The sequence below is a fragment of the Homo sapiens genome, chromosome 18 (assembly GCF_000001405.40).
Source record: "Homo sapiens chromosome 18, GRCh38.p14 Primary Assembly".
In the NCBI taxonomy this organism is placed as follows: Eukaryota; Metazoa; Chordata; class Mammalia; order Primates; family Hominidae; genus Homo; species Homo sapiens.
Window position 1 is genome coordinate 21397133 of NC_000018.10, and position 19244 is coordinate 21416376.

The 19244-nt window shown below is 39.2% G+C and overlaps 1 protein-coding gene and 1 long non-coding RNA gene across 30 annotated transcripts in view, besides 2 other annotated features; one reads left to right on the forward strand and one right to left on the reverse strand.

Annotated features, from left to right (window-relative positions):
• Positions 1-19244, forward strand: part of GREB1L (GREB1 like retinoic acid receptor coactivator) — a 283881-nt gene that overhangs the window by 154901 nt on the left and 109736 nt on the right. For all 29 annotated transcript variants that reach the window (XM_006722547.4, XM_011526179.4, NM_001410867.1 and 26 more), the window contains 2 exons: positions 4018-4194; positions 6740-6862. In XM_006722547.4, coding sequence (XP_006722610.1) covers positions 4018-4194; positions 6740-6862 — 300 coding nt within the window. The remainder of the gene's footprint in view (positions 1-4017; positions 4195-6739; positions 6863-19244) is intronic.
• Positions 1-19244, reverse strand: part of GREB1L-AS1 (GREB1L antisense RNA 1) — a 71004-nt gene that overhangs the window by 17089 nt on the left and 34671 nt on the right. The window contains exon 2 of the long non-coding RNA NR_187982.1: positions 4689-4767. This is a non-coding gene — a long non-coding RNA (GREB1L antisense RNA 1). The remainder of the gene's footprint in view (positions 1-4688; positions 4768-19244) is intronic.
• Positions 4896-5397: an enhancer, noted in NCBI's record as "H3K27ac hESC enhancer chr18:18981989-18982490 (GRCh37/hg19 assembly coordinates)". NCBI's record gives its function as "activates a minimal SCP1, AML or CMV promoter by ChIP-STARR-seq in primed H9 embryonic stem cells {active_cell/tissue: H9 hESC(primed)}" and the evidence as "EXISTENCE:reporter gene assay evidence [ECO:0000049][PMID:30033119]".
• Positions 5398-5897: an enhancer, noted in NCBI's record as "H3K27ac hESC enhancer chr18:18982491-18982990 (GRCh37/hg19 assembly coordinates)". NCBI's record gives its function as "activates a minimal SCP1, AML or CMV promoter by ChIP-STARR-seq in primed H9 embryonic stem cells {active_cell/tissue: H9 hESC(primed)}" and the evidence as "EXISTENCE:reporter gene assay evidence [ECO:0000049][PMID:30033119]".

Below are 19244 nucleotides of genomic sequence, written 5' to 3' on the forward strand. Positions count from 1 at the left end.
TAAAGACTTTTTATGGTTCATAGGAAAAGAAATGGTAATTTTCATTTTTTATAAGGCTCTCATAAAAAAAGAACATTTTCGGCCTGGCACGGTGGCTCACGTCTGTAATCCCAGCACTTTGGGAGGTCGAGGTGGGCGGATCATGAGGTCAGGAGATCGAGACCTCTGGCTAACATGGTGAAACCCCGTCTCTACTAAAAAAAACCCCGTCTCTACTAAAAAAAACCCCGTCTCTACCAAAAATTAGCCGGGCGTGGTGGTGGGTGCCTGCAGTCCCAGCTACTTGGGAGGCTGAGGCAGGAGAATGGCGTGAACCCGGGAGGCAGAGCTTGCAGTTAGCGGAGATCGCGCCACTGCACTCCAGCCTGGGGGACAGAGCGAGACTCCGTCTCAAAAAAAAAAAAAAAAAAATAATAATAATAATTAGCTGGGCGTGGTGGCGCTTGTAGTCCCAGCTACTCGGGAGGCTGAGGCAGGAGAATAGCGTGAACCCGGGAGGTGGAGCTTGCAGTGAGCCAAGATGGCGCCCCTGCACTCTAGGCTGGGCGACAGAGTGAGACTGTCTCAGAAAAAAAGAAAAAACGTTTTCACTTTGTTTAGTGAAATTGAGCAGATGGTTTAATATAGAAGTCTAATGATAAATCTAATATGCTGGAGTAAATTAGCAGTGAAGATCCAACTACTCGTTTTTTCATTCAGCAGTATTTATTCAGGATGTACTGTGTGACAGAAATCACACGAGGCTCTTACGTAGGGACACAACAGTTAAAAGACTCAGTCCTGTTCCTCACAGAGCTTACTACCTAGTAGGCTGTAGTAGAACAACTTCAGAAAACTTTTTAGCATTTGAAAAGCATTATCGTCTCATCTAATGATAAACAGTTCAGGTGTGGCTCTGACTGTCGACAATGAAAATCTCTCATAATGCATTTTTTGTTCAATGATTCTTTGTGACTAGAGAATCCTCTTAGAATATGTCATGGAAAAGACACAGAAAACACCATCAGTATAATAGACTTCATAATCCTTAGAAATTAGGAGTGAGACCAAAGACCATGTGCTTTAGAATCAGAACTGTGTTCTAATCCCAGATTTGTCACTTAGTACTTTAAGAACTTCAGCAAGTATTTTAAGAACTTAAAGTCTTAGATTGCTCATGCATATAATGGGGCCATTAACGCCTACCTTGCCGGGTCATAAAGATCAAATGAGATGATGTCCTTAAAGCACCCACCCAGCACAGTGCTTGGGACATAGTATTTGCTCTTCAAATGGCAGTTATTTACTATTGTATTTATTAAATACCCTTACAGACTTGGAACCTTGCTTACTTTCTCTAGCCTTGTAAGTGGACATAATTTTTTACTAACCACTTCTCCATGTAAAAGTGTGGTGCAATAACAAAATGGCAGGTTTTTCTTAAATAAACACATTGCTGGGATTTTTACATGTTTGATACTCTTGTCCAAAAACTTTCATCCAACATTTCTTACTTAAAGTGGATGATTTTCGTATGCATTAAAATATAGTGGAAAAATGTTTAAGCTTCCACTATTCTGGAACCCCTGTGGATTCAAATATCAATTTGTCTAAATTTTTATATAAATTATGCAGATTCCAAAGACCATGGGGGAATTGATTTAAAAATATATTGATCCAGTTGGTAGTGCATGTGCCCCAAATCTACCATGCAATTGGAAGACTTGATTGCCAGAAAAACTAGAAGGTAATTTGGCTGTGAGTGGTGTTATTTTTTGTTTTCAATGACAACAAGAACTTCAAGCAGATAAAATCTCCCTTGAAGGAAGGCTAATGCTGAAGCCATACAGGGTTTTTAAAATGGACTGTAGGATTCTAACTCTTTTATGTTGTTAACTCATCATTAATGTGAAGATTCTCTCCTTTGCAGATTATTCAGACCCATGGCTTTTCTTCCTCTTCACACTCTTGCTTTTCACCTCAGAATAGACAGAGGAAAAGATCAAACTCAACCTCAGTAGTTTGTTAATTCTCACACTAATCTTTTCTAAACCACTTGGACCTATCAGTTAAGCCTCATGTTTTGGCACTGTTCTTGATTATTTTGGCTGAAAGGTTCTTGTAGCTTTTTTCTGTGTTTTGGGTGTGGCATATCTACTTCACAGGTCAGGCAGTTTTCCATGAAGATGCCATAATCAGACCAGAATGTAGTTTCCACAAAGGCAGGGACTTTGTCTGCTTTGTTCAGTGCTAAAAAACCTGGTGCCTGCCACAGTGTCTAGCACATAATAGAGTACAGTATTTGTTGGATGGATGGTTGGATGGTTGGATGGATGGATGGTTGGATGGATGGATGGATGGATGGATGGATGGATGGATGGATAGATGGATGGGTGGGTGGATAGATGGATGGATGGATAACTTTAGTGACCTAGACAGCCACTGGCAACCTTTTTTTGGCGGGGAGGGGCTACTGCTTTAAGGTATTGGACAAATAGTCAAATGTTCTCAAATACAATCCATCTCTGAATATATTTTAAGTCATTTATAAAATTATATTGTTTGCATGTCTATAAAGTGGCGGTAATAAGTTGTTAATTCTATGTGATTGACCAGAGGTTATGAATATCTCTTCTTCACCACTGTTTCCCCAGTGTTTAGCAAAATGCCTAGCATATAGGTAGATGCTCAATAAATAGTTGTTGATTGAATCATAACAAATTGGACTTCCAATTTATAAATGCTTTGAATTGATGGTTAGCATTCTGAGATTAGGATGTTGTGAAATATTCTATCTTTAATCCTTGTGGCTTTTCTCTTCTCTATTTATATATCTTTGTTAATTATTAATATATATCAGGTTAGCTTAGGGGTCTGAAAAGAGTGTATCACTTCATCAGTGAATTTGTTTTCTGTTATTTACATATAGAAATATTGCCTTTATACGATATGGAATGCCCTTTCTTATTACAACTTTTTTTTTCCTGTTCATCTATATAACAGTAAATGTGTTATGCCCTCATCAGACACAACTAGAAGAACTCACTCTTATTGTCTGCTTTACTCTGTGTATTAAGGGGGATGGAAAAATTGATTTTCAATTAAAAAAAAAAGTATGGCTTTTCATCCTCCCAGTTTTCTGTTTCTTCTTTTTTCCATGTCCCCTGTTCCAACCAGGTCACCAAAATTTTTATTTTGTTTGATTTGTCTGAGTGAGGAATTGTTTGGATATTAGATCTAAAGGAATAAGAAGCCAGTATGAATAAACAGGTGTTAGAAAAGGGGAAATAGGAATCTCATGGAACTCCTGTCAGAAAGTATAGCTAGATCTCACAGAAACTAGAAGCTGACAAAGCCCTGAATTTGAACATCTGGCCTGTGCTCTGCTTTCCTCTTCGCAGATCAGCTTCCCTTCATGGTTCTTGGTTCCCGTACCTTAGCTTACATGTGGCTGACATAACCCTAATTCGGATTCCAATTCTCTAAAACCTTACAAATCCAGGGTCCAGTACCACCTGCCTGACTTTTTGTATTTATTTCAAAATTCCAGGAGAGAGATTCTGACTGTCCCAGACTGGGTCAGACGGTGGGCCACAAGCTCACCAGCTGTGGCCATGGAGGCAAGTTCGAGTGGTAGAGAGGGCAGAGAACCAGGGTGAGGACGCAGGTTCTCTAAGGAAGGAGTATGTGGGGAAGAAATAATAGACATTCTAGAACCAAGCTTTTCATTATATTATGTGCTCTATTTCCTTAACCTTAACCATTATCTACTGTATTTATCTACTCTATTTCCTTAATCTTTTAGAGATTAACCTTTCCTTTCCTTTTAGAGCAGCATTTAAATTATTTCCAGTCTTTCACTGTTATAAAATAACTCTGCTAAAGAAACATGTACCTGGTTTTTTTCCCTCTGAATTATTTCCTTGAGATTGAGACATTTTTGGGTCAAAGAATGTGAATGTTTCTATGCTGTTTAATACGTAAAAGTATTGTATCAACTTACAAGGCCATTAGTAACATTGGTTTTCCTGACTTCAGGGTTTTCTGGAAATTGTATCGGCTGTGGAGAAAGAGGATTTCGATATTTCACGGAATTTTCCAACCACATTAACTTGAAGCTCACCACTCAGCCAAAGAAGCAGAAGCACTTAAAGTACTACCTAGTCAGAAGCTCCCAGGGTGTACTGTCTAAAGGACCTCTTATCTGCTGGAAAGGTAGTCAATTTCCAGGAAGAAAAGGGGAGGGAATGGAGATTTTACGGTGGTGACAAGTGACCCATACAAGATTCAGAGTTCAGGTGGGATACAGATAAATATCCTAAGTTCAGAAGGATATCCCAAAATTTAAAGCCTTCTGGTAGGTTATTTGACTTGCCCCTTACTAATTTTAACAGAGACAATTCAAGTTTAGGAAAGTGAATGTCTCTGTATTCGTCTCTTGGGAAGGGGGTACAGCTCTCAAGGGGAAAAATGGACTCTTTCCAGCTCTTCTGTCCTTTAGAGAGGACCTCAGGGTGACAGCTCCTTGGTTAGATGCCGTTTTTACTCTATTTAATTTCTTTGGAGATTCTCAAACATCTGTATTTTTTCTATTTTAACTAGACCTAAACATACTTAGAATAAACATTAATGTTCTCTTCATAATACCTGGGAAAATACACTATTAAGTTGTCCAAGTGTTATTTCTTATAAATTAGGAAGAACTTAACTTATTTATAGAAATGAATCCAGTTGAAACTTCACATCTTCATGTGCTTGACAGGATTGACAGAAGTTCTCTTCACTGTGCTAAAGAAAAGAAGTATTTAATTATTATTCTATTGATCAGTTTCTTAGGTGCTGAGATTTTTTTCTCCATATAATAACTATTTTTGATGTTTTTCCTGACTATGAAAAACAGCATAATATTCCAAATTACAACTGCAGATTTGTTTCTGAGTCCTTCACCTTAATTTCTCTTAGTTATCTTTGAAGTAGCATTATATAGTTCTTTAGGAAATGGGTATAATTCCGAGACAGGTATCATCAGAACTTAACGCTTGTGACCACTGAATCATAAGCTGGTGAATTATAGATAAGTGTTTATCCTATTAAATTACTTTTCTCAGAAAAATCATTTTGAATGTCATGAATCCTAAGAAAAGGATAAAAATAGGATAGGTATCACCTCCCTCCCTTTTAATTCCCTTCTTTAGCCTTGTTTTGGTTGCATAAAATATTTTTAACTTCTTAGTACTCAGTGGCAATTCATCCTTCCTTCCTTCCTTCCTTTCTTCCTTCCTTCCCTTTCCTTCTCTTTTCATTTATCTTTTTTTCTTTTCTTTTTCTTTTCTTTCTTTCTTCCTTCCTTTCCTTTCCCTTTTTCTTTCTTCCTTTCCCTTTCCTTTCCCTTTCCTTTTCCTTTCCTTTCCCCTTCCTTTCCTTTCTTTTCTTTTCTTTCTTACACGCTCTCACTCTGTTGCCCAGGCTGGACTGCAGTGGCTCACTGCAACCTCTCCCACCCCAGGCTCAAGTGATCCTCTTACCTCAGCCTCACAAGGAGCTGGGACTACAGATACACACCACTGTGCCTGGCTAATTTTTGTATTTTTTGTAGGGACAGGGTTTCGCCATGTTGCCCAGACTGGTCTCGAACTCTTGGGCTCAAGTCATCTACCCACTTTGGCCTCTCAAAGTGGTAGCATTACAGGCATGAGCCACTATGCCTGGCCTCATTTTTCTAATAAAGAATAACATTTGTGAAAGAAGCCTCACGTTTATAATAGTTGCTATTTTGGAGCTGAAATTATATTTATTTATATAATTTATATATATACACATATAATATCAATATACATATATGCGTATATTACCTATTGGAGATAAGCTCTTAGGCCAGAATACAATAGCTCTTCATAGCAGGTCATAGCATAGAAGGTTATAGAAAACTGCTTCCAGTCCTTGTATGTATCTCATAAACTTGGAGACACTCTAAAGGACCATCTGTAATTAACTTTGTCATATAAAATCATTTATATTCCTTTTTCACATGCTACTTTTTGAGACGAATAGGGTAAAATTTGGTTGGAAGTTAACAGTCCCACAGGCTGTCATAGTATTTACTATCTACCTAAATCAGTACAAAGCACTATTAAAATATACCAGAGGCCCATTAATACTGGCTTACTTAAAATGAAGCTTGGCATATCATGATCCGTAACCACTTTGACTATTGGCTGTCTCCTTTAATAAGAACTGAGAATAATATTAATTTGAGCATTTAAAATTTTTCTCTACTGCCTATACATTTTTCTTTGCTTCTGTTTTTGGACCTAAATTAAGGTTGAGAAGAGAATAGGTTATAGGCAGCCTAGACAGACCCTAGGTTACTGTTCTACATTTAAACCAATCCCAGGTAGGATGTTAACTGGTATTGAAAGGCCTATTAGGTTTTCATAAATTACTAATGTTTTAACCTCTGTCTTACCCATAAAACTAGCATGACTATATTGGTTACGAGTATTTTTCCTCTGGGAACTAGTATGTAGGGAACAAAGGTCCAATTTCTTTGAAACCATTTCTTTGTCTTCCAAACAAAAGCATTGTGTTCACTAGTTGAAACATTCTGTTGGAGTCAGGATGGGGAAGGTGATCTCTAATTAAAGTGGCTGCCGCTTAAGGAGCAGCGATTTAATTTAGAGATTTTATGGATTGCGTCCCCATCACCTGTTTTAACAGAACATTGGTCACTTCATACAATGTGATTTTTACTCTTTTCCAGAATGTAGAAGCCGACAATCCTCTGCTTCTTGCCACTCTATTAAGCCAAGCTCTTCAGTGTCGTCAACTGTGACCCCAGAAAATGGGACAACTAATGGATACAAATCAGGATTCACTCAGACAGGTATGGGATATTTTCTTTTGGCATTTCAAGCATCACATGTATATTTAATGAGACTTTTTAAAATATATACTTACTGCTGGCTGGTTTGAATAGAGATATTTCAAAATAAAGGTATTACTTGAGTTACTATTAGAGTTAGAATTCAGCCTTGAGATGGGTTAATCTGTGGATGACCAGAATCCAAGTCCTCACAGTCCTGACAGCTGGTAGGAAATTTAGCTGGAGCCTAGGACCTCATTCTAGGGGAGACTGACAGTAGGCAATAAGTGGAAATCCAGACATGAGGGGAGTCTGCATCATAGCCATCCAGTGGCAAGTATTAGAGACACAGTCATTAAGACTGGAGTTCCAGGGTAGGGCTCTAACTAAGCCCACAGAACGTCATAGGGAGTAGTGCACCATCTGGGATACAAAACAAGGTCCTAAGCTAGGATTGTGGATCACAACGGATGAATCCAGGATCTAGTTTCTAGTGATACAAGAGAGGGACTTGGTTATGAATAACTAGATAAAATCTTAGTGCCTGAAACTAGGTCACAATATCAGAGCAGGATCAGCAGAATGACTGATCCTACTGAGCAGATAAGCTACCAGTCTGAGGCTTCTAAAAATTCCTCCAGTATAGAGCACCAGCCCAGGCCCTGAGGCCAAGATAAGATTCCAGGTGGAACTTCATGGTTCCAAGTGGCCAAAGGGCTGGAGGGCTTTGCCTGAAAAGATCACTGCAGATAGTATTTGAGAAAATTACTCAAAACCAGCCTTGGTTATATCTTAGGCAAGAAGGAAAGTATTTTAAAAGACTTTGTGAATTTGTTTCAGTTCACTTGTTTTTTGTGGAGTACATTTTACTCATCTGATACACAAACTTCATAGCATATGTACTTTGCCAGTGTTAATCACAAATTGAGAAGAAGGTGGTCTTCATTTGCTACACAGCATACCTCTTTCAAATTAATGTGAAATTCTGATGAGCTGGTCAATTGTTTCTACTTATTTTCAAGATAGAAGTGATTATTAGAATATGTTAGCAGCAGCAGCAGCAATGATAATAAGGCTAACTTTCTTTGGGGCATTTCTTGCTATGTGCCTGTACTCAGCTAAGTCCACCTCTTCCTGGATTGTAAAAAGTTTGGCTTTTAAATTGCACGGGAGATTTAGATAGAGGCTCTGATCTAAGAGAATAGACCACTTCTCTTTAGAATAAATGAGAGAACATGGTGTCACTAGGTATTCAAGAAAGAAACAAGTTAGCATTTGGCTCTGGCCATTGAAAGCATAGCCTTCATTACATTAATGAAACACCTGCATGTCTCTCTTAGAATATCATTTATGTAATTTGATTGATCCCGTGATATGTTATGCTGTGAAATATAATTTTTAAAACCACAGTATTAAAAGCTAAGATTTACTTCATTACAACAAAAACGTATCAAGTGTTTATTTCGTTTTAAGAACCTTATCAGTTGCTGTAAGGCAGGGTTTCAGTACTCGACTGATGTCTGCAATGATTTAAAAAACATTCATGGCTGGGCGCAGTGGTTCATGCCTGTAATCCTAGCACTTTGGGAGGCTGGGGTGAGCAGATCACTTGAGGTCAGGAGTTCGAGACCGGCCTGGCCAACATGGCAAAACCCCGTCTCTATCAAATACACAAAAATTAGCTGGGCATGGTGGCATGCGCCTGTAATTCTAGCTATCTGGGAGGCTGAGGCACGAGAATTGCTTGTACCCACGAGGTGGAAGTTGCAATGAGCCGAGATTGTGCCACTGCACTCCAGCCTGGATGATGGAGTGAGACTCTGTCGCAAAAGAAAAAAAACTAATATAAGGGATTAAAGAACAATAAAACAGGCCCAGGCACAGTGGCTCATGCCTGTAATCCCAGCACTTTAGTAGGTAGGCCTAGGCATGTGGATCCCTTGAGCTCAGGAGTTTGAGATCAGACTGGGCAACATAGTGAAACCCCATCTCTACTAAAAATACAAAAATTAGCTGGGTGCTGTTGCAGTGAGCTGAGATACCACCACAGCACTCTGGCCTGGGCAACAGAGCCAGACCCTGTCTAAAAAAAAAAAAAAAAAGAACAATAAAACATGTAACCTTTCCTAAGAGGGAGAGGTAGGTATGTAAATAACCAGTTGTACCTGAAAATAATGACGATATTAAAATGTTAATAAGAAGTAATACAATTTTAATTCTACCGGAAAATATAATTTGTAAACAAATTTTGCTTTGAAAGAGGAAATCAAGATTCAGGCTTTAGCAAAGGCTTCCCCAGTTGCCATCATGAGACACAGGCCAGGAGCAAGGGGAAGGCACTGACTGACTCACCGTGAACACAGTGGCCAAGTTTTAATGCTCACATTCTTTTGTGTCCCTTGTGAGGATGTAAGTGGTAATTTGACCATGAAAATTAGTTATTAACAATTTCAGATGCAACCCAGAAAATGTAATAAAAGAAAGTGCCTTTATAAGTGATGCTTTGTATCTAAAATTTTTGTGTTAATGAATTATGTTTATAGACTTTTCAATAATTTCTTTCTTCTGACACTTGAACATAATGGACTGTAGAAATTTCATGTTGGCATTATGATACCATTGCAAATATTAGCATGTGCAGCACTTCCTTAACTGATGGATTGAGATTCACCTTTCTATAGGAGATTGTTTTCTCCCTAATCTTAATCTGCAGTCAGTGACTGTCTGTAATCAACAGTTTTTAGCCTCAAGTATGGGTACACACATTGTATGGTATTTGAAGAAGAGTTTAATGCACTATTTGCATGCCTTTGTCTTGAGTTCTACCTGCTAAGCTATATATATTCTGTTCTGGCTGGGTTACCACTTATTGCTTGCATATTTTCTCTTAACATTTTCTTCCTTTTTTTTTTTTTTTTTGATACGGAGTCTCACTGTGACACCCATGCTGGAGTGCAGTGGCACTATCTCAGCTCACTGCAATCTCCGCCTCCCAAGTTCAAGAGATTCTCCTGCCCTAGCCTTCCGAGTAGCTGGGATTACAGGCGCATGCCACCACGCCCGGCTGATTTTTGTATTTTTAGTAGAGACGGGGTTTCTTCATGTTGGTCAGGCTGGTCTTGAACTCCCGACCTCAGGTGATCCACCAGCCTTGGCTCCCAAAGTGCTGGGATTACAGGCATGAGTCACCGCACCTGGCCTTCTCTTAACATTTTCATGTAATTGCTAATTCAAATTTTGGCCACCAATCTCAGTGGAATATTCTATCATTTTTACTGAAGGGGGCTATATTTTTATCTATCTGCATTATAAGCATGACATACACATAGATGATGTTTAATCGGGACGAGAATTCAGGAATAGATGAAAAATACATTTGTCTAACTCAGGATCTTGAAAATTTCCAAGTATTTTTCTAAAGCCTTTATTGTTTTAACTCTTGCAGTTAAGTCTATGAGTCATTTTGAATTAATTTTTGTATAGTATGAAATGAGAGCTTAAATTCAACTTTTCATGTGTGGATATCCAGTTGTACCAGCACCATTTGTTGAGCAGACCGTTTTCTCATCAGTGAATTGCATTGGTCAAATGACTCTAAATATAAGGATTTGTTTCTGGAAAAATTGATAAAATAGGCCTCATCAAAATTAAAATATTTTAAACTTCATAAGTCAATTAACTCTAAATATAAGGATTTGTTTTTGGAAAAATTGATAAAATGGACCTCATCAAAATTCAAAACTTTTACACTTCAAAATTTTAAGGATAAAGAAAATATGGTATATATACACAATGGAATTCTATTTAGTTGTAAAAAAATCATGAAATCCTGTCATTTGCAGGAACATGGATGGAACCAGAGGTCATTCTCATAAATAAAATAAGCCAGGCACAGAACAACACACATCACATGTTCTCACTTACACGTGGGAGCTAAAAACAGTTGATTTCATGGAGACAGAGAGTAGAATGATGGTTACCAGAGGCTGCAAAGGGTGAGGAGATGGGGATGAAGAGAGGTTGGCTAATGTGTACAAACATAAAGTTAGATAGAAAAAATAAGTTCTAGTGTTTGATAGCAGAGCAGCATGACTATAGTTAACAATAATATATATTTTTAAATAGCTAGAAGAGAAGATTTGAATGTTCCCAATACACACACAAAAAAAGATAGATGTTTGAGGTGATGGATATCTTATTTATCCTGATTTAATCATTACATATTGTATGCATGTATCAAAATATGTGTACCCCATAAATATGTACAGTTATTATCTGTCAATGAAAAGACACCATCAAGAAATGAAAAGGCAAACAACAGAGTGGTAAAAATATTAGCAAAACACAAATCTAATAAAGTATTAACACCCAGAATTTACAAAAGCTCTTACAGCTTAATAAGATGACAGTCCAACTGAAATATGGGCAAAGGATTTGGAATAGACATTTCTTCAAATAATAGATACAAATGGCTAATAAGCACATGAAAAGATGCTCAATATCATTAGTCAGGGAAATGCAAATCAAAACCATAATGAGAGCCAGGTGCGGTGGCTCACACCTGTAATCCCAGCACTTTGGGAGGCCGAGGCAGGTGGATCATCCGAGGTCAGAAGTTTGAGACCAGCCTGACCAACATGGAGAAACTCCGTCTCTACTAAAAATACAAAATTAGCCAGGTGTGGTGGTGCATGCCTGTAATTCCAGCTAGTCGGGAGGCTGAGGCAGGAGAATCACTTGAACCCGGCAGGTGGAGGTTGCAGTGAGCCGAGATTGCACCATTGCATTCCAGCCTGAGCAAAAAGAGAGAAATTCCATCTCAAAAAAAAAAAAAAAAAAAGTAATGAGATACTACTTCACATCCTCTAGAACAGCTGTCATAAAAAAGACAGTAACAAGTGTCTGTGGGTGTGGAGAAGTGGGAACCATTATACACCACTGATAGGAATGCATTGGTAAAATGTGGCAGCCATTTTGGAATACAGTTTGGCAATTTCTCAAAAAGTTGAACATAAAACTACCATGCAACCCAGCAATTCCACTCCCAGGTATCTACCCAAGAGAAATGAAAATATATGTTCTCATAAAAACTTGCATGCAGATGTTCATAGCATCATTATTCGTTATAACAAAAAGCTAGCAACAACCTAAATGTTGATTAACTTGTGAATGGCTGGACAAAAATGTGATGTATCCATATAATGGAATACCATCCAGCGATAACAAGAAACAAACTGTCGACATAAGCTATGTCATGGGTAAATCTCAAAAATATGATGTTAAGTGAAATAAACCAGATGAAAGAGACCACATATTGTATGGTTCTGTGTATATGAAATGTGCAGACAAGGCAAATTTATAGAGGAAGGAAGTAGATTAGTGCTTGCCTGGAGCAGGGAGTGGGAATGGAGATGAACAGAAAATGGGGTGTGAGCATTCTTATTAAGGGGATGAAAATGTTCTAACATTGATTTATGGTGATGGTTACACAACTTGGTAAGGCTACTAAAAATCATTGAATTGTATAGTTGAAATGGGCAAATTTTATACATAAAGTATGCCTCAATTAAGCTAGAAAAATAGATTAAAAAGCTGCTCTGAGAAAATTCATAATCCTTTGGGGTGGCACTGTTTCTCTTTCAGTTTAATACAATCTAATTTATTGAATATCTACAGTGGGGTGAGCAGTTTTTCAGAGCAGATGGTAAACAGCACAGGGCTGGGAGTCAGAGTTCTGCTATTAAGATACTGTACCTGACATATATTGGCTGAAAATTGGGGCAAGCCAATCAATTTTTCTGTGCCTTGGTTTCCTTTCCTCATTTGCAAAAACTGAAATTAACAACGCCTGTTTTGCATCTTTGTGAGGAATGACTTAGCCTTGCTACCACACTTCTGCTTGTGTGACACTGTTCCCTGTTATAATGATTTGCAAACCATGTATATTCTCTTATACGCTAGAAGCTTTATGTTCTTTTTGTTTATCTCTGTATCACCTAGTACCAGACAAATGCCTGGAAATAAATGTTATTTGAATTCTGTTTTTATTTAAATTAGAAATTAGCATTTGGGGATTATTAATTTAGTCTTTATTAATTTATTAATAGTACTGGTATGTACTGTCTTTCTAAATGAAGATAATATGCTCATCCACCATTAGAAGAACACATGTTTTATCCCTTAGCTTGTAGGGAAGCATGGGGTGAGCCTCCTAAGCTCTGCCCCTGTCACTAATAGTATGGCTTTTAGGAAGACTCTATGAAGCAGGGCCACTTTATGATTTTCTTGGGCCCTAGATATCTTTGCCTATGTAGGCTCTTCCTCTGTAGAAAAATATGTCAAATTATGTTTTATAACTGTCAGTATAAAGGTGAATATATTATTATAATATTATATATAAAGGCCAGCACGGTGGCTCATGCCTGTAATCCCAGCACTTTGGGAGGCTGAGGTGGGTAGGTCGCTTGAGCCCCAAAGTTCAAGACCAGCCTGGGCAACATGGCAAAACCCTGTCTCTCCAAAAACATAAAAATTAACTAGGTGTGGTGGCAAGTGTCTGTAGTCCCAGCTACTGGGAAGGCTGAGGCAGGAGAATTGCTTGAACCCAGAAGGCAGAGGTTGCAGGGAGCCAAGATCGTGCCACTGCACTCCAGCCTGGGAGACAGAAAAAAAAAAAGACAAAGTGTTGATCATAAAGGAAAAGACTGATATTTTACTACATTAAAATTATAACTTCTAACTATTAGGAGTCACCATAGAGTAAAAAAAAAAGCCATAAATTGGGAGATGATATGTGTAATACATAAAACTAACAAAGAACTAGTATCAAGAATATATAAAGAATACTTATGGGCCAGGCACATGGCTCACTCTTTGGGAGGCTGAGGCAGGAGGATCACTTGAGCCCAGGAGGTTGAGGCTGCAGTGAGCTAGGATCTTGCCACTGCCCTCCAGCCTGGGCAACAGAGCTAGGCTCTATCTTAAGAAAAACAAAAACAAAAACAAAAAAAAAGAATACTTATGAATTAATAAGAGAAGTATGTCAATAGAAACAGTGAGCAGAAACTTCAACAGGCACTTCACAAAAGAGAATATCCAAGTTGGCAATAAATACATGAAAAGATGATTAACTACTTTGGTAATGAGGAAAATTAAATTAAAAATACAAGATACTATATTCAGATCCCAAATTGGCAGTGAATTTAAGAATGACAAATAGTTGATGTTGGCAAGGATTCTTTTTTTTTTTTTGAGACAGAGTCTCACTCTGTCGCCCAGGCTGGAGTGCAGTGGCGCCATCTCAGCTCACTGCAAGCCCCGCCTCCCGGGTTCACACCATTCTCCTGCCTCAGCCTCCCGAGTAGCTGGGACTGCAGGCTCCCGCCACCATGGCCAGCTAATTTTTTGTATTTTTAGTAGAGACGGGGTTTCACCATGTTAGCCAGGATGGTCTCGATCTCCTGACCTCATGATCCGCCTGCCTCGGCCTCCCAAAGTGCTGGGATTACAGGCGTGAGCCACGGTGCCCAGCCAGATGTTGGCAAGGATTTCAAGTAATAAGAACTAATATACACTGCTGGTAGGAGTGTTAATTGATACCAAAGCTCTGTAAGTAGGTTGCAATACATAGTAAAGTAGAAAATGTGCATATCCTCTGATCCAGCTACTCCATTCTAGGGAACTTTTTGTATATGTGCACCAAGAGGTATGTTCAAGATTGTTCATGGCAGTGTTCTTCACAGTCACCTTAAACAGGAAACAACTAAAGTGTTCGTTAAAAATAGAATGGGGGCCGGGCGCGGTGGCTCACGCCTGTAATCCCAGCACTTTGGGAGGCCGAGGCGGGTGGATCATGAGGTCAGGAGATCGAGACCATCCTGGCTAACACGGTGAAACCCCGTCTCTACTAAAAATACAAAAAATTAGCCGGGCGCAGTGGTGGGCGCCTATAGTCCCAGCTACTCGGGAGGCTGAGGCAGGAGAATGGCGTGAACCCGGGAAGCGGAGCTTGCAGTGAGCCGAGATTGCGCCACTGCAGTCCTCAGTCCGGCCTGGGCGACAGAGCGAGACTCCGTCTCAAAAAAAAAAAAAAAAAAAAAAAAAATAGAATGGGTAAGTAAATTGTGAGATATTCATATTTAGGGTCAGATGAGGTGGCTCATGCCTGTAGTCCTGGCACTTTGGGAGGCTGAGGCTGGTGGATTGCTTGAGCTCAGGAGTTCAAGACTAGCCTTGTCTTGAACATAGTGAAATCTTGTCTCTACAAAAAATACAAAAAAAAAATTAAAAATTAGCAACGTGTGTTGACACATGCCTGTAGTCCCACTTATTTGGGGAGCTGAGGCAGGAGGATCTCTTGAGCCTGGGAGGTCAAGGCCGCAGTGAGCTGTGATCTCACCACTGCACTCCAGCCTGGGCAACAGAGTGACACCCTGTCTCAAAACAACAACAAATATATATATAAAATGAAATAGCATATGGCAATGAAAATAAACAAACAGATGTCTACACCTAGCACTATAAAGGAATCTTGCAAAGATGATACTGAACAAAAAAGTCATTCACAAAAGACTCCGTCCAATATTATTTCATTTCTATTACATTAAAGAAAGGGCAAAACTAAACTATTTGAGGAATGCATACAAAACACAGTGATCACCTCTGGGCAGAAGGAGGGAGATGGAATGGGAAGAGCACACAGGAGGCTACTGGCTGCTGACAGTATTTTGTTTTGTTTTGTTTTGTTTCTTTGACTTGGATGGTGGTTTCATAGATATTTGCCTGTGGTTATTCCTTAAGCTATAAATGTTTTGTGCACTCTTCTGTATTATGATACATCTCAATGAGAATAAAAGGGTGGATTTACCACCCCCCCCCACCACCAAACTACATATATGTACCAATGTATGTAGTCCTCATACTTTGATAGCAAGTAGTATCATAGGCAGGGATGCTATGGTGTAATAATAATGTTTGTGTCTTCTGAGTTTTTCTGTTTCGCATGTGGTGATTGTACAGTGGGATTGTTGCTGTCATAGTAATCTCTCATAGCTGACTTTACTGTCTAAGAAGGGAGTGGGCAGGAACAACTCTAAATGGAACTCTGTAAATGTCCAACACTTTTCCTTCCCCGTCCTCCACCATGGCCTCCTTTCCTTTGCCTTCCAAGAGTTTAGAGCTCTCATGCTGCCTGCTGCCCTCTGTGTGTCCAGAATATTTTGTGATCTGCCACCCCCTAACCTAGGCCTACCCTGCTCACATAGCCTATCACTTTGTTTCCATTTCCCCCAGGACTCCTCCTCTGTCCCTGATGATGGCTGTTTAAGAAGCAGATTGTATGGGAGTGTATCATTCAACCGTCCCTAAGATGTGGCCGTGTCTGTCTCCTTCCGCTTTGTGTCCTCCTTTGGGCACTTACTTCCCCCTTCCCTCTCTAGGTGCATCAAAAGTTCCTCCAGCATGATTTTCTAAATTTAGTTTCTTATGAATACTCAGTTAATGCTTTTCTAAAACAGTCTCTTTTTTTTCCAAATATGGTGGGAACCCTTTGGCAAATTTGCCCACTTCTAGCCAGATACTGAGAACACGCGGGGTTTTCCTTTACACGGTAAACTCCTTGAAGGTAGGGATTGTATCTTTGTCTTATTCCCCTACTGCATTCCCAGAGCCTAACATAGTACCTGGCATGCTGAAGAGGCTCAATAAATATTTGATGAACTCATGGATGGGAGAGAGAAGGAAAACAATGATTACTCCCCTCTGAGACAGGAGAGGAGGCTACGGGTCATGCATGTGCTTGTGAGACTTCTATTCCTGCTAAGAGAAAATGCAACCCCTTAGTAAGCATGAGGAAGAATATCCCACTTTGTGGAAATGAAGAAACCCATAAGTAATAACAGTGAAGTCATTTTCACTTATTACACTAGCCAAAATATTTTATTTCAGTGTTAAAATGCAGTGCTGGTAAAACCGACACTCTCAGCCAGGCTGGTAAAGGTGAACAGTGGTGTGACCTTTTAAGAAAGCAGTTTGGCAATATGTAACAAGAACATTTAAAATATTTATACCTTTTGCTATAATAATCTCACTTTAGCGGGCTTAACCAAGAAAATAACCGAAATGGAGAGTCAAGATATTCACTGCAGTTCCCTTTATATTAACTAAAAAGGAAAAGCAACCTTAGTATAGCAACAATTGAGCAAATCGTGACATACACACATGATGAAGATGCTAAAAAAGATCATTATGAACCGTGCAGCCACCTAGGAAATAATTCTGTTAAGCAATAAAAGTAAAATTGAAATGATTTTTTGTCATATCACGTAAAAAGATAATGTGGATAAAACATAGAAGGGCATGTACTAAAAGAAAAAAAAACTGGTTCGTGGGAGAAGTAAGACTTCAGCATGTTTGTTTCTTTTTCTGAATTTTCTTTTATGTTATAATTTTCATAAACATAAAAATTCTCAAAATTAATCCAAATGTATAGGTTAGTAGAAAATGTCTGCTTTTTACTGATCTCTCGTCAGCTCTGCATGTGTAGAAATAAAGGCCAATACCTAATGTAGGCAAGTTCAAGATACAGGTAGATGATAACATAACTAGATTTTGAACTCTCTGCTCACTACTGAACAATTATATTTGGCAATTACTGGGTACTAGGAGATGAGGGTACAAAGATGGTATTGAGCTCTACCTAGAGTTCTGTAAAATGCTCACGTATGTCAGATTTCAAGAGCAGAATCGGGGTAGTAGGAACAGGAAAACAAAGGGAGAACACCACGGTTATAGAATCAGTAGCAGATCAGCTCAACATTTGCTCCTGGCCCAAATGGAGAAAAGAGACTGGATTTACCCTCCCCCTGGAACAACTGCAACAACAAAATACAGACAAAAATACATTAAAAAAATTTTAAATACACTATTCATCAGGCAACAAAGAATAGTGATCCCTGAGAGATGGGAAACAAAGTGAGTCTTATGATTGCCCAAGCTTGCTGTCTTCACAATTTCTAGACCATGATATAGGGAGAGGAAAGTGGTAGAACCCAGCAGACTCCTTAAGTCAAGTAGAAGGAACTGAGAGGGGAGACCAGAGCAGCTAGAGTTCACAGGACTAAGTACCAGAGGGAAGAGAGCTGCACAAAGAAGAGAGAAACCCACAGATATCCAAAGAGTCCCTCAAATGTTCAACATAGTATTACTTGGTACCTGCATGTGAAGAAATTACTCAAAGCTGATCTTTAAAAAGTACCATTCAAGCCAAGCGTGGTGGCTCACATCTGTAATCCCAGCATTTAGGAGGCTGAGGTGAGAGGATTGCTTGAGCTCAGGAGTTTGAGACCAGCCTGGGCAACCTGGTGAGACCATGCCTCTACAAAACAATAAAGAAATTAGTTAGGCATGATGGCGTGTGCCTGTAGCACTGGCTACTCTGGAGTCTGAAGCAGTAGGAACGCTTGAGGCTGAAGTGAGCTATGATTGAACCACTGTGCTCCAGCCTGGGCAGCGAATGAAACTCTGTCCCAAAGGGAGGGAGGGAAGGAAGGACACAAGGAAGGAAGGAAGAGAGCGAGGGGAGGGAGAATGGGAAGGAAGGAGAAGGAAAAGAAAAGGAAAGAAAGAGAGAAAGAGAAAGGAAGAACCACCCAAAAGGGTTAGAGGAAACTGCCCAGCATTCACACAAGGCCAAGAAAAGTGGCTATTCCCACCAGCCACCAGCCAAACAGGAAAACCACATAATACATCAGGCATAAGATAGAGCACTTAGGAAGGTCTTGTCTCAGTAACAGATAATACATAGCCCTAGACTGAGCACTGCTCCAGTACTGCCTAAAATATCATGAAAGCAAAACCCCAAAAGATCAAATTGTTTCCAAATAATTTAACTGTATACAAAACAAAGCTCAAGGATATTTATAGGAATATAAAAACACTCAGCACCCAACTAGATAAAATCGACAATGCCTGACATCCAGTGAAAGATTACCAGGGTGCAAAGAGGCAAGAAAATACAACCAATACCAAGGAGATTAATCAATCAAAACCAGTGCAGAACTGACACGTTAGAGTCAGCAGAGAAAGACATCAAGACAATTATTATAACTATATTTCATATCTTCAGAAAGTTAAGTAGACATGACAGATACGAAAAAGACCCAAATTAAACTTCAGTGTTTGAGAAGAAAAGCACTCTGGATGGGATTAACAACAGGTTAGTCATTGAAAAAGAAAAGAATAATGAAAGCACAGTAATGGAAACTATCTGCAGCTAAACTCAGAAACAAAAGAAAATGAAACGAACATCAGTGAGCTGTGGAACAACTACAAGCAGCCTAATATACTAGTAATTGGAGGGCCTGAAGGTGTGGGAGACAAAATATGTATTTGGAGAAATAATCCC